Here is a 17,753-nt window from a genome sequence, read left to right on the forward strand (position 1 = left end):
AAAAATGTGGGAGTAGACATTTGTAATCAAATAAAGTCAGACAAAATTAGATACTATAATTCTACTAGGTGAATTTTCTGCTTCCCCATTCTTCCACTTCTCCCCACAGCTGAAATACCTGTAATGTACAGGTTATTGTCTCAAATTGCTGATTTTACTAAGTCAGTAGGGCATAAAAATATTTTTAAATATCCTGTTAAAAGATGGAAAAGTTAAACGTTGGCTGAAAGGTTTAAGAAATGATAGCCTTAGCATAACTATTATGGTAGTCTCCTATTCCCCCTGTAGACATTCTTCTTTGACCATACCGCAATTAATACTGCACACTCATTTGCTTGTTATAAATTTTATTAGAATAGAAAATAATACATACAGATAACCATAGGATACACACACAGGAATTGAAAGATAAATTTTATACTTTTCAATATGAAACAAAGTGCATATCTCATGGAGATATATTGCTAGAAACAACATGAAACAATAGAGCAATCATCTTGAAAATGAAAAGTATAGGAACATATAGGAATTACTAAATAATAAAAAGGTCCAACTTCATTACATGTAGCATAAAATACAAGTATTGGAGAAAGTGGAAATAACAATGGTCATATGAAATCTACTAGTCATTCAGATTGTTTCAATATATACAGTATATGCGGACCTTATAGAGAAAGTTATAAATATTTATTGTTTTTGTGTATGATGACTTTATCTTAAATGTAATCTCTAAATGTAAAATAGTGCTTTATGGTGATATCAGAATTTCCCTAATTTTTAATCTTTCTTGTTATCTGAACTGTTTTCTAATTCTGATATTGTTGGAAATGTGAACAAGTTTCTGCAAAATGTGAAATTGGTAGGAAAGAGGTAAAAAACTGATTTTGCAATGTTGAAAACTCAATCTGCTGATTTTAATTTATTCTCTATATATTGCTATGAAGTCACGTCTTCAACAATTTTTTGAAAACCACATATTGAAAGACTGAGTCATACATATCAAAGTCAGCAGCATTGCCTTGGTTCTATTACAAATTTAACTCAGGAACTAAAAAGCCTGCCAGACTCACTCAGATAGATGGTGGGATTTCATTAAAAAACCATCTCTGCCATCCAAAAAGAGAGGGTCCCTTAATGGAATTGGAAATTGAAATGAGGGATTATGTGGATTTTGTTTAATATTTGGGTTGAGATTCAGGTCATTCCTGATTTTTTCCTCTAGGTTTTAATAAAACCTGAAAGCTTATTCATAGCTGTGAAGGAAACAATTCCTTTTTTAATTTAAAAAAACTTTTTTTTTTTGAGAAAGAATAAAATGTGATCATTTGAATTTTGGAATATAACTGAATGAAACAGAATGAAGCTTGAAAATCTGGCTGGTCTTCATGACTTTTATGTGATTAAATAAATTCATGCTAATATTTTGCATGGGTCAATTGCATTTGGGGTGACAAAAGCACTTTCATACTTCAGTCTTTATCTTTTAAAAACTAATTCATGGGGCAAAGTCTGATCAGATAGGTATTATTATCTCCATATTTTATAGAGGAATAATTGAGAGGTACAGATGGCAAAGTGATTTGTAAAGTCTTACAACTAGTTAGCAGCATACCAAACCAAACATCATTCTTCTAAGCCCCACAGTAGCATTTTCCAACAATGCTCTTTTGAATCACATGCCACTCCTCTCCAACAAAATAATTTTTAAAATGTATTTTTCATCCTTGGGGACTTAAATCAGCATTTCAAATTGATACTGGTTAAGTCTTCCAAATAATGCTATTATAATGGGAAAATAGCATTTGAATTAAATGAAAGAGTTTTTCAATGTAAAAAGAAATTCTCATGCGTGTGTGTGTACATGTGAGAGTGTGTGAGTCTTTATCCATAGGCAGTGCTTAAACTCATAGTTTAAGAACATTTATATCAAAAGTCTGAAGTATGTAATATGTAAATTCCTTTGGTTTATCAAGTTAATATTAAGGCATTTCAGATTCCCCTAAAAGGATTTACTGTTTTTTTAATTATATTCATATTTACCTATAATGAAGTAGAAAGTTAAAAATAAGAGTTGAAAAAAACATGCATAATCACTGCATTTCATGAAAGCACTTTTTTTGGTAACCAAATAACTTTCCAATAAATAATAAAAAGGAGTTAATATCACCACAGGACATATACAATTAAGAACAGTACTATAGGCATATAACTTGACATAGGGTGGACATTCGAGATGGCTGAAGTGGATCCTCTTGCATCCATACCTGTCAAAGTTGATGAAGAGCTCATTAATAAGGATTGTACCAATATGTAATCAGGGTGCTAGAGACTGGATATTTGTGGTGTTCCCCCCAAATTCTTTGTTGAAATCCTAACCCTCAATGTCAGAGTATTAGGAGGTGAGGGACTTCGAGAGGTGACACTGAATCTGCCAGCAATTTGACCTTGGGCTTCTCAGACTCCCCTCCAAAACTGTGAGAATTAAGTTTCTGTTGTTTATAAGCCACCTGTCTAGGTAGTTTTGTTAGAGAAGCCAAAAAGGACTAAGACACAGAGCAAAGGCAATACCTCTCCTATCAAAACCAAATCACTACGTGAACCTATCCTGGAACCACCACAAGTTGTTATTAGCCTTCATTTTATTTATCAATGCAGCATATACTAGTTGCCAAGAGTATCTATAAAAACAGTAATGTGTTTAAGTTTTCTTAAATGATACCAGGCTTTGTTCATCTACTATTATTTAACTTTAATTGAAATGGGAAAAACAACTTAATCATTTTGAAAACAATTATACTTGATTACAAACAACTTTGAGATAATTCAATGGTTTAATTAAGAATGCTTCATTGGGTAAGGGTTTGAAGGGTCTGTGCTTGTTTCTATTTTATGCATTTCCAGATAAATTATTACACATAATATAAAACATAATCTTTTTAAAAGGCAATAAATAAAAGCTTCGTTTTCATAGAGATGGCCCTGTGTGGTCACTTGCAAGCTCAGCAAGACAGCAGATGTCAGATGAAAAGGCTACTCTTGACTCAGCAGCCCTAAAATGCTAAAATAACATCTGTCCCTGCAAAAGCCTAGAACATATTTCTTTTAAAATTGCCACTTTGCCCATATTGTAATGTTAACTCCATGCCTTGCACCATTCAGGGAACAAGAAGCACATATTCATTATTTCAAAACCTAAATTAACAACAATAATAAACTAAATTTAATTTCTACTTTTGCTCTATTGAAGTGCATACAGTTTTAGAGAGTTCTGTAGTCCAAGATGGGTTCTGCAGACTTTTACTTTGCAGAACTTAGTTCTGCAATAAGTAGTTCCTGTTTTCTTAGTGTAGCTTTGTTTGTTTTAGTCTAAGTATGGCAGCCTTTATGGTTTTACAGAAAGACAGAATTTCTCTAAGTTTTCTATTTCCGTTTCTCTTCAGTTACTAATGTCTGCCATTTTGTTTTCCAAGATTAAAGACAAAAGTTTCAGTCCTGATTACCCATGCTAAATGAATGGAAACAGGGAACAAAGTCATGTCACTAAGAACTATAGAATAGCATATGAAGTCAAAATGGACTCTACAATAGTTAAACTGAGGCCAGAAAACTCCAGACCTGGGATTTAAGAGTGAGGATAAAATTTATTCTAGCATTGGCAGTTGATAAAATACGCAAACCAAAGTCTGTTTCCAACTCTAAACATATAATTTCTATAGTAAAATAGGTTTTACTTGGATTTGGAGAGGAAAAATTCGTATGAACCTCCTTGGAAACTAGGAGAAGAATTTTTAAGGAGTCTTTTAGTTTGGCACAGGTAAGTGGTTTAGGACTTTGACAATGTTAATCATTCTATTTAAAGAATTGATAAGATTTATCTATAATTTGTAGGAGGCAAATAACTAGACTATTAAAGATCTAAAAGAAATGATTAGGGAATTCTGCTTTTATAGGAGATCCAAAGGCAAATTTAAGTAAAACTCAGAATAAGGAAAAAAAATCAAATTAATGAAGTTTTGCTAAATATTTTTTGACATCTTTTCTTCACACCCTCATACTTTTCTCCCTATTTTGCACCACTCTTGAGGGGTTCCTCTTGCCCACGTCTCACCTGCCAAAACCTTACCGGCATTTGGATGTAAGCCTTGCTGGAAAGAAAGAATGGACAGAGGGATACTGATTGACTCACTATGGCGGATAGTAACACTGATGTCAATAAAGTAAATAATGGCTTCAACCAACTTACTGGTTATTCGTGGAATCCTGATCTGTTCACTACTGGTCCCATCCCCTCCATCTGTTGTGGCCTTGACTTCAATAATGTAGTCCTCTTTAATGGGCAGCACAAGTTCAGCTGAAGTTTTATTTGTGTTCAGTACTTGTACGTTATTTTGACTGCTAGTCCTATAGAAAACCTAAAATGCATGAACAAATACACTTACTTGTTATATTGCCCATTTTTGTTTTCTTCATAGAATTTGTCTCTCTGAAATTAACTAATTTTGTCCTTCTATATCCACTAGAATGTAAGTTTCATTCATGACTCTAATTGTAAGTCTTAGATTAGAGGTTAGCACATGGCAGAATCATCAGGTTCTCAAAATCAGGGAGGCTTGGGAAGAGTGAACTTCTCCCGTGGAAAAGCCCAGCTGGGCTGCGTATTTATGAGGCTGGAGAGATAAGGCAGGGCCATAGTGTATGGACCTTGAATGCCTGGCCATGGAATCAGAGCCAATAGTTTTATTTATTTATTTTTAAGTAGTATATAGGTCAGCATCAATAGTAGCAAACTAACACACAATTTGGAGACATTGTGTCCAAAATTCCCACTTGAGCAGAATTCTTTCACTTGAAACCATATTTAAGAAGCTATTTTGAAAAATTACCCATTTTATGGAAAGCTTGGTATCTTTGTCAAAATTAGATTACAGAAACCATATCAATATATAGAAAAATTCACTTATACCTAGCTTCTCTTGAAAAGTACTGCCAAAATTACGAAAATGAAGCATTGCAAATGAGAAAACTTACTTTATATCCTGTTACTTCTGACTCATTCTCCATGGCTTTAACTTGCTCCCAATTAAGTAACACTTTAGTGTCTGTGGCATTCCAAACAACATTTCCTGGTGGCTGACTGGGAGCTTGAAATGCAAAATGAGAAATTTTAAAACAGATCGAAGTACAAGTGATATTTTACACGGAGGAGATGGCGGCTATCATAGGAAGCTAGTGGAAGTAGAACGGGATGCCTTTGGTAATGCTTGGTGTAATAGATGAAATCAGAAAAAAATAACAGAGTATATAAATTTCCTTTTTTTAGAAAGGCATTTCATTCATACACCAAACCCCCGTGACACGTAATTTATTCATGTAACAAACCTGCACATGTACCCCGAATCTAAAATAAAAGTCCCAAAAAAGGCATTTCAATTAATGTGTAAGATAATTCATTTTATCATGCTCATCATACACTTTAGAGCATTTCACACTTACTGTGTCTCGTTGAAAACACGTCGATGGGGGGGATAAGGAAATTCCTCTATCTACCACTAGAGGGCTGCTTGTTCCTAAACCAAGAAAGGAAGGCGGCGGGACTTATTTTGACGCATACAGAGGCTGGAAGAAATTGCCAAATGGACAGATTAAAGTTCTGTGAAATGAAGTGTATATGATTTTGGAGCCAGCCTTGTATGATAAGATGGGCAAAATGTGAGGCAATCAAAAATAAGAATTACTTAGATTTATTCCCATGGAGTAATAGCTATACACATGAAAAATTGCAAGAGAGTCTATATTTTAAAAGTCTTCGTTTTCCAGGCTTAAATCAATTTTTGAGAAAAATAAGGCAAAACGCTAAAAAGTTAATGAGGATTCCATTAGAGGATTAATGAAACTCTCTGCGGTTTCTAAACTTAGATTCATAATTTAGTTCCTTTTCGTGAACGCTGGACTGTAAACTAATGCTAAGGGGTGAGGGTGTTGAGGGATGGCCGATAGTATTTGTCAATAGCAACACAGATAGGGCACTGGAAAAATCAGTTTCTTGTCAATAACAACAACAAACATAATATTATTCATTCAACAACAGCATCACAATTGCCCTCAGTGTTATATTTGTAGATTTAACCACAGAATGTGATTTGGCTAACTGAATTTGTAATGGAAAAATGATATAAAACATTAGCTATCCAGAGAAATTTCTAAACATCATTGACTCATGCCATAGGGGAAATACAGCTGAACTTACAGATAGGAAGAACTCAAATACATTTATGAGTCTAATGACACCAAACGAGATTGTATTCCCTGTGGATTTCTTTTGCTTTTTGTCTCTTTTAACACTATTCTATGTTGCCTTTAAAATTCTGTGATGTGAGTATTCACAATGAGTTTAGGTCAGCTAAGATTGTCTGAGCTGCTGTGCTCTGCTAATAACAACAAAAAAATTATAGCAGCTGCTTAGGGTTGAAATACTAATGACCATGTTCTGGTTACTCAAATAATATGAATGTACAATTTTTAGGACAATTTCCCAAAGCCAGTGATACCCTGTGGCCTGACAGCACTATAAAAGGACAGGTTTGGTTTGATGCAGCTGAGCTATACTACAGCATGGTTTGTTCTAACAAAAGGTGTGTGTTTGGAGGTTACAAAAAGTTTGAGTAATTTTGGTTAAATCACCTATACCAACATCAGCCTTCAGGGAGAAATGACTGCAAATAGAACACTGGGGTTTATCTTGTATGAGTCACAACATACGTGGGCTGAATGAGTTCAGCCTGAAATGAATACTTTTTGAAATGACAAAAAGAAAAAAAAAAAACAAAAAAAAAGGAAAACAAAAAAGAAATAATAGGGTCTAACTTTGTTCTTTTTGAATCATATTACTGTTTTCTAAACGTCAGTCATGTATCATTTTTGTCATGTTTTGCTATTTAAAAAAATAACTTGGTTTAAGAAAAATTAAACATCTATTTTACCTTCATCTCAATAATATTCACACAATAATTAGCTTGATGTGCTAGTTACATTTTTGGGCACTCTCTAAAATAAATGAATTTAATGCCTTATATAAACATTCTAAATTTTTATAATGTTCGCGAACTACCTTAAGATCATCTCTTACCACCACTGGTAAGAATGACAATATTTGGGAAATTTTGGACCAGAGAAACTTTCACCCATGTTCAAAATGCTATTATTAGTAACTAATACTTAGTACACGTCTATAATATGTTAGGGATTACAGAATGTGCTTTAATATAATTTACTTAATCCTCATTATATTGCATTGTAATAAAGCCCATTTCTGTACATACATAATCTGGACCCAGAGAGTTAAAATTTAAAAAGATTGTATAAGCATGTTCATGACAGCATTATTCAAAAGATGGGTGGATGAACAAAATGGGGCATTTACCTATAATGAAATATTATTCAGCCTTAAAAACATAAAATTTGGACACATGCTATAACATGGATGAACCTTGTGGACATTATGCTAAGTGAAATAAGCCAGACACCCAAAGACAAATACTTTATAATTCTACTTATTTGAGATATTCAGAATAGTCAAAAATTCACAGAGACAGAAAATAAAATGCTGGTTGCCAGAGGCTGGTGGAAGGGGAAATGGAGAATTGCTTAATGAGTACAAAGTTCCAGTTCTGCAAGATGAAAAGGGTTCTAGAGATCTATTGCACAGAAATGTAAAAGACTTAACACTACAGAACTGTATGTTTTTAAATGTTTAGTATGTTAAATTTTATGTTATGTGTACTTTACTACAATGAAAGGTTTAAAAAAGCTTGCTAAGATACATGACTAGTGAGAAGTATTATGTGGATTCAAACCAGCTCTGTTTAAGTCCTCTGCACCTTGAGAGGATTATGCTTCTCTGCCTAGCTCTCACTGATGTTGGCGTTGGCTATGGGACTTGTGGTTCCCTGCCTGTAAATAGGCATAATTCTCCTTCTCATTGGCATCCCATAGATATGGGACTTCACCATAGGACTTGCCTCAACCAATGGAATGTGGGCCAAAGGGAAATAGGCCACCCCCAAGTGGCAGCCATAAAAGTCATTGAAGAGTATGGTTTGCTTTCCTCTCTTTTCTCTTTGCCATGAGATTGCCAAGTCCCAGAGATTGGCTGCTCCATTATTCTGGGTTCAGGAGTGGAGACAGAATGGGAGACAGAATGGATCAGATCTGAATCTCACTCATGATGAACATATAGTATGAGTTGAAGAAAAAAAAGTATAGTTTTAGGCCACTGAGGTTTGGGGATTTGAGGTGCCTCAGCCTGGACTAGCCTAATCTGACATAGCTATTAACCAGTAGTTTAGATAGCTCTGAAGCAACACAATGAACTTTTGTAAAAGTATGGAGTCAAGTAGTGAATTAGGAATGAGCAGGGGATAGTTGATAGTGTAACTTCTAGGACTTCTAATTTTACTTTTTGTATTTGAACCTGTGTGGAAGTGCAACCCAGAATAGGATGATTGAGTTCCAAAATTTACTGGACCTAAACTGGTAAGTAGTCTACATTTTGAAATTTTTTGGAAATCGTTTGTCAACGTTCATATCCTATAGGTTTTTCCTGTCAACCTCTACTGTTGGCAGAATGCTAAATTAGAAAAAACTGGTAAAAAACTAATCCTAGTAAAATGATGACATATCACTAGATTTATATCACAACACTAATTGACAGGATACACATAATCATTTCAGTAATTTTAAGTGTTACATAAAGAAATAACTTTCTCTCGAGAGGTTTTTATTATTGTTGTTCCTTAAGCATCCATCATGATCCTCTGTGCACTTGATTTTCAGACTCCTCAACATCAGCTTCATAGATTTTACTTACTCTGCAGATACTTGCCTGAAAACAAGTGATTACTATCATATAACCATGATTAGATGAAACTGGGAAGGTGGGAATATAAGACATGTCTATCCACAGGAAAATGGCTAAATAAATTGTGGCGTTCATCACAATGGAATATCATCCACGGGCAGTTACGATACAGTATACAGGTAACAAAATACACAGCATAACCTCCACTGTATAAGAGAAACTTTTCATAGAACAGAAGTCTGGAAGGAAAGACAAATGATATTAATTATGGTATTTCTGAGTGATAGGATTATGAGTGAATTTTATTTTTTCTCTATAGACTTTTTCCCCCAAATTTTCTAAAATAAATGTTTTCCTTTATATAATACAAAGTAGAGGTTGTTAAAGAATATTATTGCCTGGAGCTTTCAATGGTGATGTCTCATAGTGGTAACAGTGAAGCTGGCATTTACTTTCAAAATATGAAATTTTAAGAACATATGTTTGCTGTGATTAATTATACAAAACTCAGTATGTTTCTCAACTCTTTTTCTTGGCCATCTGATGGTAATGAGATGACTTACCTGATAAAAAGTTGTTATAACTAGTAGCTAGAAGTTACGCTTTGCACTTGGACTTCACTTAAGATAATTATTAACATTTGTAACTAAGCTGCTTAAACATGTGGTATTGTGCAACGATCATGTAATCAAAAACAAAAGCCAATTATGCACCCCCCCAATAGTAAGATACGGTTGTTTTGGAATCACTGAAAACTATTATAAATGGATCTAATTTCTTATCAAAGGAAATTGACACAATGTTTTAAAACACAACAAAATCATCTACTTTTTAACTCGTCTGAAACCCAACCTAGAACGCCAGGGAAGGTCTTTCTTTGATTTTTGGTTTTCGACGTCTAGGAATTTCCTTGACCAAAAGTTCTCCTTTGCATAATAAAAATATGTGAGATTATAAACTATAAGCAGAACACTTACAATTGTCTAGAGCAGGGGTGTCCAATCTTTTGGCTTCCCTGGGCCACAGTGGAAGAAGAAGAATTGTTCTGGGCTGCACATAAAATGCACTAACGATAGCTGATGAGCTTTAAAAAAAATCACAAAATAATCTCATAATGTTTTAAGAAAGTTTATGAATTTGTGTTGGGCTGCATTCAAAGCTGTCCTGAGCCACATGTGGCTCTCTGGCTGTGGGTTGGACAATCTTGGTCTAGAAGATTCACAGGCAAGTGGGGCAGATTTTCAAAAAAGTGCCAAAACTCTTACAAAATAAAGTTCATAAGTTTTACACATTTAGTCAGAATTTTTCCTGATTCTATATTAGCAGAAAATTCCTGTTTGAATACTGGTAAAGTTCAATATTATATTGTTATGTTTCTTCAGAGCTTACAAAACTAGGAATAACTTTGCTGAAGCCCATAGATGGGGGAAAAAAACACCCTCCTGAATCTGAGGAATGCACATTGATAGGCTTGTATTGCATTATATGTGTGATTTATGGTGTGTCATATACAAACATGATTAGATCACATGCACTGGGGGATGTGATGCACAGAAAAGCCAACAAATAGCATTCAGTCACCTGCAGAAAAATTCCCTTGTAATCTTCCCATAGCTTGAAGAGAAAGTTAGATTTGGGAGCCAGTAGGTCTTTAATATCCCCTCTATACTAACATCACAAACAAAGAGGGAGCAGGTTTGGAGGTTTCAACAGGCAAGAATATGTTCCTAGTATTTAAAAAGGAGGGTGGTCTATTTTTCATTCTACTTATTATTATTAAACTTACTATTTGGTTAGCATCTATTTATGGCAATGATGCTGGTTCTACATTGCTCAGATAAAAAGCTAGTTTCCATTTTTTTAAATTTATCTAAGTAAAAATAGAAGGTCAATTTTTAAGAAAAAAATAGTAGATATATATTAATAGAAAAGGTTGGAAAAAATGGCAAAATAGGTGGATCACATATGAAATTTGGAAAACTTTGCAATAATGTGTATCCTGAGCCAAAACCCAGACTGGACAATTATACAATTAAGTCATATATATAAAAATTTTAGAACTTCCAAATTCTGTGTTTGAGGTAGCAATAGTCATTTAATAAAAACCGTCTGAAACATTCAGACTCATTCTTTCAGTGCTTGCCTTATTCACATTTCCTTTTCACTTCCCCAAGACACACCTACTTGGAACAGATCCTGGCAAACGGGAGGCAGGCCTAGACTGCAGCTCCGACTCGGATGGACAGAGCAGTGTGTGGAGGCTTGCATTGTGAATTTTAGTTCCAGAACAACTGCAGGAATAAAACAGGAAACCTGAGAGGACCCACAGACCCTCTGAAGGAAGTGGATTGCTCCTGCAAGACCCAGGAGACACCCCAAATACTGTGATTGCTCAAACTGTGGAAGTGGGAAAGGGAGGTCCTCCACCCCCAAACACATACCCCCACTGGGGAAACTGAAGGTCTAATTTATGGGAGAAGATTCCGACCTTACCTGGAGCTGAGAGCTGAGTCAATTTAGGAGCTGAGTGAAATACAGGGGTAGAAGAAGCAGCGGGAAAGGCCCTGTGAGTTCGCTGGGTCCCCAAGCAGGCCACTCCTGCCTGGCATCACAGGGATCCTTCGGGAGGGTGGCCAGAGGCACGAGGAAACCACCACAAGAAGGAAATCTCCAGCTGAACTTTGTAACTATTTTAACTGGTTGAGAAGCTTCCTGGCCAGAACCTGGGGGAGAGAGTGAATCTGGCGTGCAGACTTTATAGGTGGAGGAAGAATTAGAGCCCTTTTCTTTCCCAGCTGGGAGGTGGGTAGCCTGGGGAAACTTCTCAGCCCTGCCTGCCCACTGCCTGGAAACGGACTTTTTTGCTGTCAGTGGGGGCACAGTGGGAGTGAGACTGGCCCTTTGGATTGCGTGGGAGCTGAGTAAGGCCTGTGACTGCTGGCTTTCCTTCACTTCTCTGACAATCTGCATGACTCTGCAGAGGCAGCCATAATCCTCCTAGGTACATAACTCTATTGACCTGGGAACCTCACGCCCATCCCCCCAGCAGCTACGGCAAGACCTGCTGTAGGAGGAGGTCAGACACACTTAGTCCTGCCCCCACCTCATGGTCCTTCCCTACCCACCCTGGTAGCTGAACACAAAAGGCATATACTCTTGGGAGTTCTAGGGCCCGGCCCACCAACTGTTCCTCTCCATACTACCACAGCTGATGCTCTCTGGAAAGCGCCACCTCCCAGCAGGAGGCCAACCAGCACAAAAATAGAGCATTAAACCACTAAAGCTAAGGGCCTTACAGAGTCCATTTCACAGCCCCGCCACCTCCACTGGAACAGGTGCTGGTATCCATGGCTGAGAAACTCATAGATGGTTTACATCATAGGACTCTATGCAGACAACCCCCAGTACAAGCCCGAGCCTGGTAGACATGCTGGGTGACTAGACCCAGAAGAGACATAAACAATCACTACAGCTTGGCTCTCAGAAAGCCACATCCATAGGAAAAGGGGGAGAGTACTACATCAAGGGAACACACTATGGGACAAAAGAATCTGAACAACAGCCTTCAGCCCTACACCTTCCCTCTGACAGAGCCTACCCAAATGAGGAGGAATCAGAAAAACAACTCTGGTAATATGACAAAACAAGGCTCTTTAACAACCCCCAAAAATCATACTAGCTCACCAGCAATGGATCCAAACAAAGAAGAAATCCCTGATTTACTGGAAAAAGAATTCAGGAAGTTAGTTATTAAGCTAATCAAGGAGGCACCAGAGAAAAGTGAAGCCCAATACAAGGAAATCCAAAAAATGAAACAAGAAGTGAAGGAAGAAATATTCAATGAAATAGATAGCATAAATACAAAAAATTAAAACTTCCAGAAACACTGGACACATATATAGAAATGCAAAATGCTCTGGAAAGTCTCAGCAATAGAATTGAACAAGTAGAAGAAAGAAATTCAGAGCGTGAAGACAAGGTCCTCAATTTAACCCAATCCAACAAACACAAAGAAAAAAGAATAAGAAAATATGATTGTCTCCAAGAAGTCTGGGATTATATTAAACAACCAAACTTAAGAATAATCGGCATTCCTAAGAAGAGAAATCTAAAAGTTTGGAAAACATATTTGGGGGAATAATCAAGGAAAACTTGCCCAGCCTTGCAAGAGACCTAGATATCCAAATACAAGAACCAGAAACAACACCTGGAAAATTCATCACAAAAAGATCATTGCCTAGGCACTTTGTCATCAGGCTATCTAAAGTTAAGGGGAAGGAAAGAATCTTAAGAGCTGTGAGACAAAAGCACCAGGTAACCTATAAATGAAAACCTATCAGATTAACATCAGATTTCTCAGCAGAAACCCTACAAGCTAGAAGGGATTGTGGCCCAATCTTCAGCCTCCTCAAACAAAACAATTATCAGCCAATAATTTTGTATCCAGCGAAACTAAGCATCATATAAAAGAAAGATACAGTCTTTTTTCAGACAAATCGCCACGACAAGAACTGCTAAAAGGAGCTCTAAATCTTGAAGCAAATCCTGGAAACGCATCAAAACAGAACCTCTTTAAAGCATAAATCTCAAAGGACCTATAAAAAAAAAATACAATTTAAAACATAAAAAGCAAAACCCAAAAACCAAGGTACACAGGCAACAAATAGCACAATGAGTGGAATGGTACCTCACACCTCAATACTAACATTGAATTTAAATGGGCTAAATGCTCCACTTAAAAGATACAGAACTGCAGAATGGGTAAGAATTCACCAAACAAATATCTGCTGCCTTCAGGAGACTCACCTAACACATAGGGACTCACATGAAAACTTAAAGTAAAGGGCTGGAAAAAGGCATTTCATGCAAATGGACACAAAAAGCAAGAAAGAGTAGCTACTCTTATATCAAACAAAACAAACTTTAATGAAACTGCAGTTAAAAAAGATAAAGAGGGACATTATATAATGGTAAAAGGCCTTGTCCAACAGGAAAATATCACAATCCTAAACATATATGCACCTAACACTGGAGCTCCCAAATTTATAAAACAATTATTAATAGACCTAAGAAATGAGACAGCCACACAATAATAGTGGGGGACTTCAATACTCCATGACAGCACTAGACAGTCATCAAGACATAAAGTTAACAAAGAAACAATGGTTTTAAACTATACTTTGGAACAAATGGCCTTAACAGATATATACGGAACATTCCATCCAACAACCACAGAATACACATTCTATTCAACAGTGAAGGGAACTTTCTTCAAGATAGACCAAATGATAGGCTATGAAATGAGCTTCAATAAATTTTAAAAAATTGAAATTATATCAAGCACTCTCTCAGACCACAGTGGAATAAAACTGGAAATCAATTCCAAAAGGAACCTTTAAAACCATGCAAATACATGAAAAGTAACCTGCTCCTGAGTGATCATTGAGTCAAAAATGAAATCAAGATGGAAATTAAAGAATTATTCGAATTGAACAATACTGACACAACCTATCAAAACCTCTGGGATACAGCAAAGGCAATGCTAACAGAAAAGTTCATAGCTCTAAAAACCGACATAAAAAAGACTTAAAGAGCACAAACTGACAATCTAAGGTCACACCTCAAGGAACTAGAGAAACAAGAACAGACCAAACCCAAACTCAGCAGAAGAAAGGAAATAAGCAAAATCAGAGCAGAACTAAATGAAATTTAAACAATAGAAAAATACAAAAGATTAATGAAACAAAAATCTGGGTCTTCAAAAAGATAAATAAAATTGATAGATCATTGGCAAGATTAACAAAGAAGAGAGGAGAGAAAATCCAAATAACTTCACTAAGAAATGATACGGGAGATATTACAACTGACACCACACAAATACAAAAGATCATTCAAGACAACTAGGAATACCTTTTCTCACATAAACTAGAAAATCTAGAAGGGATGGGTAAATTCCTGGAAAGATACAACTCTCCTAGCTTAAATCAGGAAGAATTAGATACCCTGAACAGACCAATAACAAGCAGTGAGACTGAAATGGTAATTAAAAAATTACCGACTAAAAAAGTTCAGGAGCAGAAGGATTCACAGCAGAATTCTACCAGACCATTGGAACCAATCCTGTTTACACTATTCAGCAAGATAAAGACTGAACCCTCCCTAATTCATTCTATGAAGCCAGCATCACCCTAATACTAACACCAGGAAAAGACATAACCAAACAAGAAAACTACAGACCGATATCCCTGATGAACATAGATGCTAAAATCCTTAACAAAACACTAGCTAACTGAATCCAACAACATAACAAAAAGATAACCCACCATGATCAAGTAGGTTTCACTTCAGGGATGCAGGGATGTTTTAAAATACACAAGTCAATAAATGTGAAACACCACATAAACAGAATTAAAAACAAAAATCACATGATTATCTCAATAGATACAGAAAAAGCATTCAACAAAATCCAGCATCCCTTTATGATTAAAACCCTCAGCAAAATCAGCATACAAGGGACATACCTCAATGTAATAAAAGCCATCTATGACAACCCCACAGCCAAATTATACTGAATAGGGAAAAGTTGAAAGTATTCCCTCTGAGAACTGGAAAAAGACAAGGATGCCTACTCTCACCACTCCTCTTCAACTTAGTACTGGAAGTCCTAGCCAGAGCAATCAGACAAGAAAAAGAAATAAAGGGCATCCAGATCAGTAAAGAAGAAGTCAAACTGTCACTGTTTGCTGATGATATGATGGTTTACCTCAAAAACTCTAAAGAATCATCCAGAAAACTCCTAGAACTGATAAAATAATTCAGCAGTTTCCAGATACAAGATTAAGGTACACAAATCAGTAGCTCTTCTACACACCAACAGTGACCAAGCAGAGAATCAATTCAAAAACTCAACCCCTTTTACAATAGCTGCCAAAAAAAAAAAACCACTTATGAATATACCTAACCAGGAGATGAAAGACCTCTACAAGGAAAACTACAAAACACTGCTGCAAGAAATCATAGATGGTGCAAACAAATGGAAACACATCCCATGCTCACGGATGGGTAGAATTAATATTGTGAAAATGATCATACTACCAAAAACAATCTACAAATTCAATGCAAATCCCATCAAAATACCACCATATTCTTCAAAGGATTATAAAAAAAACTCTAAAATTCATATAGAATCAAAAAAGAGCCCAGAAAGCAAGACTAAGCAAAAAGAACAAATCTAGAGGCATCACATTACCTGATTTCAAACTATACTATAAGGCCATAGTCACCAAAACAGCATGGTACTGGTACAAAAGTAGGAGCATAGACCAATGGAGCAGAATAGACAACCCAGAAGTAAACCCAAATACTTACAGCCAACTGATCTCCAACAAAGGAAACAAAATCATAAAGTGGGGAAAGGACCCCCTTTTCAACAAATGGTGCTGATATAATTGGCTAGCCACATGTAGGAGAATGAAACTGGATCCTCATCTCTCACCTTATACAAAAATCAACCCAAGATGGATGAAGGACTTAAATCTAACACCTGAAACTACAAAAATTCTAGAAGATAACATTGGAAAAACGCTTCTCAACATTAGCTTAGGCAAGAATTTCATGACCAAGAACCCAAAAGCAAATGCAATAAAAACAAGGATAAACAGCTGGAACTTAATTAAACTAAAGAGCTTTTGCATGGCAAAGCAACAGTCAGCAGAGTAAACAGACAACCTAAAGAGTAGGAGAAAATCTTCACAATCTATTCATCTGACAAAGGACTAATATCCAGAATCTACAACGAACTCAAATCAGCGGGAAAAAAAAACAAACAAAAAATCCCATACAAAAGTGGGTGAAGGACATGAACAGACAATTCTCTGAAGAAAATATACAAATGGCCAACCAACATATGAAAAAATGCTCAACACCACTAATGATCAAGGAATGCAAATCAAAACCACAATGCAATATCACCTTACTCCTGTAAGAATGGCCATCAATAAAAAATCAAAAAACAGTACACGTTGGTGTGGATGCGGTGATCAGGGAACACTTCTACACTGCTGGTGGAAATGCAAACTAGTACAACCACTGTGGAAAACAGTGTGGAGATTCCTTAATGAACAAAAGTAGCACCACTATTTGATCCAGCAATCCCACTACTGGGTATCTACCTAGAGGAAAAAAAGTCATTATACGAAAAAGATACTTGCACATGCATGTTTATAGCAGCACAATTCACAATTGCAAAAATGTGGAATCCACCCAAATGTCCATCAATCAACGAGTGGATAAAGAAACTGTGATATATATATACATATACATACACATACAAACACACACACATATGATGGAATATTACCCAGCTATAAAAAGGAATGAATTAACGGCATTCACAGTGACCTGGATGAGATAGTAGACTATTATTCTAAATGAAGTACCTCAGGAATGGAAAACCAAACATCGTATGTTCTCATTGATATGTGGGAGCTAGCTATGAGGACGCAAAGGCGTAAGAATGATACAATGGACTTTCGGGACTTGGGGGGAAGGTTGGGAGGGGGGCAAGGGACAGAAGACTACAAATTGGGTGCAGTGTATACCACTTGGGGGATGGGTGCACCAAAATCTCACAAATCACCACTAAAAAACTTACTCATATAACCAAAAACCACCTGTACCCCACTAACCTATGGAAAAATAATAATAAAATAAAAGTCAAACAATTGAACTCATGGACATAGAGAGTAGAAGGATGATTACTAGGGGCTGGGAAGGGTAGTGAGGGGTTTGGGGTGAGGGGGATAAGTGGAGATTAACAGGGACAAAAAAATAGAATGACTAAGACCTACTATTTGATAGCATAACAGGGTGACTATAGTCAATAATAACTGTACAT

The 17,753-nt window shown here is 36.2% G+C and overlaps 1 protein-coding gene across 5 annotated transcripts in view; it reads right to left on the bottom strand.

Moving 5' to 3' along the window:
• Window positions 1-330: 330 nt before the first annotated feature.
• The window catches only part of CNTN3 (contactin 3), a 352,092-nt gene continuing 334,669 nt past the window's right edge, over window positions 331-17,753 (bottom strand). For all 5 annotated transcript variants that reach the window (NM_020872.3, NM_001393376.1, XM_011533768.3 and 2 more), the window contains 3 exons: window positions 5,029-5,141; window positions 4,244-4,412; window positions 331-2,264 (listed from right to left, as the gene is read on the bottom strand). In NM_020872.3, the coding sequence (NP_065923.1) occupies window positions 2,164-2,264; window positions 4,244-4,412; window positions 5,029-5,141 (383 nt within the window). In that variant the 3' untranslated portion in view covers window positions 331-2,163. The remainder of the gene's footprint in view (window positions 2,265-4,243; window positions 4,413-5,028; window positions 5,142-17,753) is intronic.

This window comes from Homo sapiens, chromosome 3 (genome assembly GCF_000001405.40).
Source record: "Homo sapiens chromosome 3, GRCh38.p14 Primary Assembly".
Classification (NCBI taxonomy): Eukaryota; Metazoa; Chordata; class Mammalia; order Primates; family Hominidae; genus Homo; species Homo sapiens.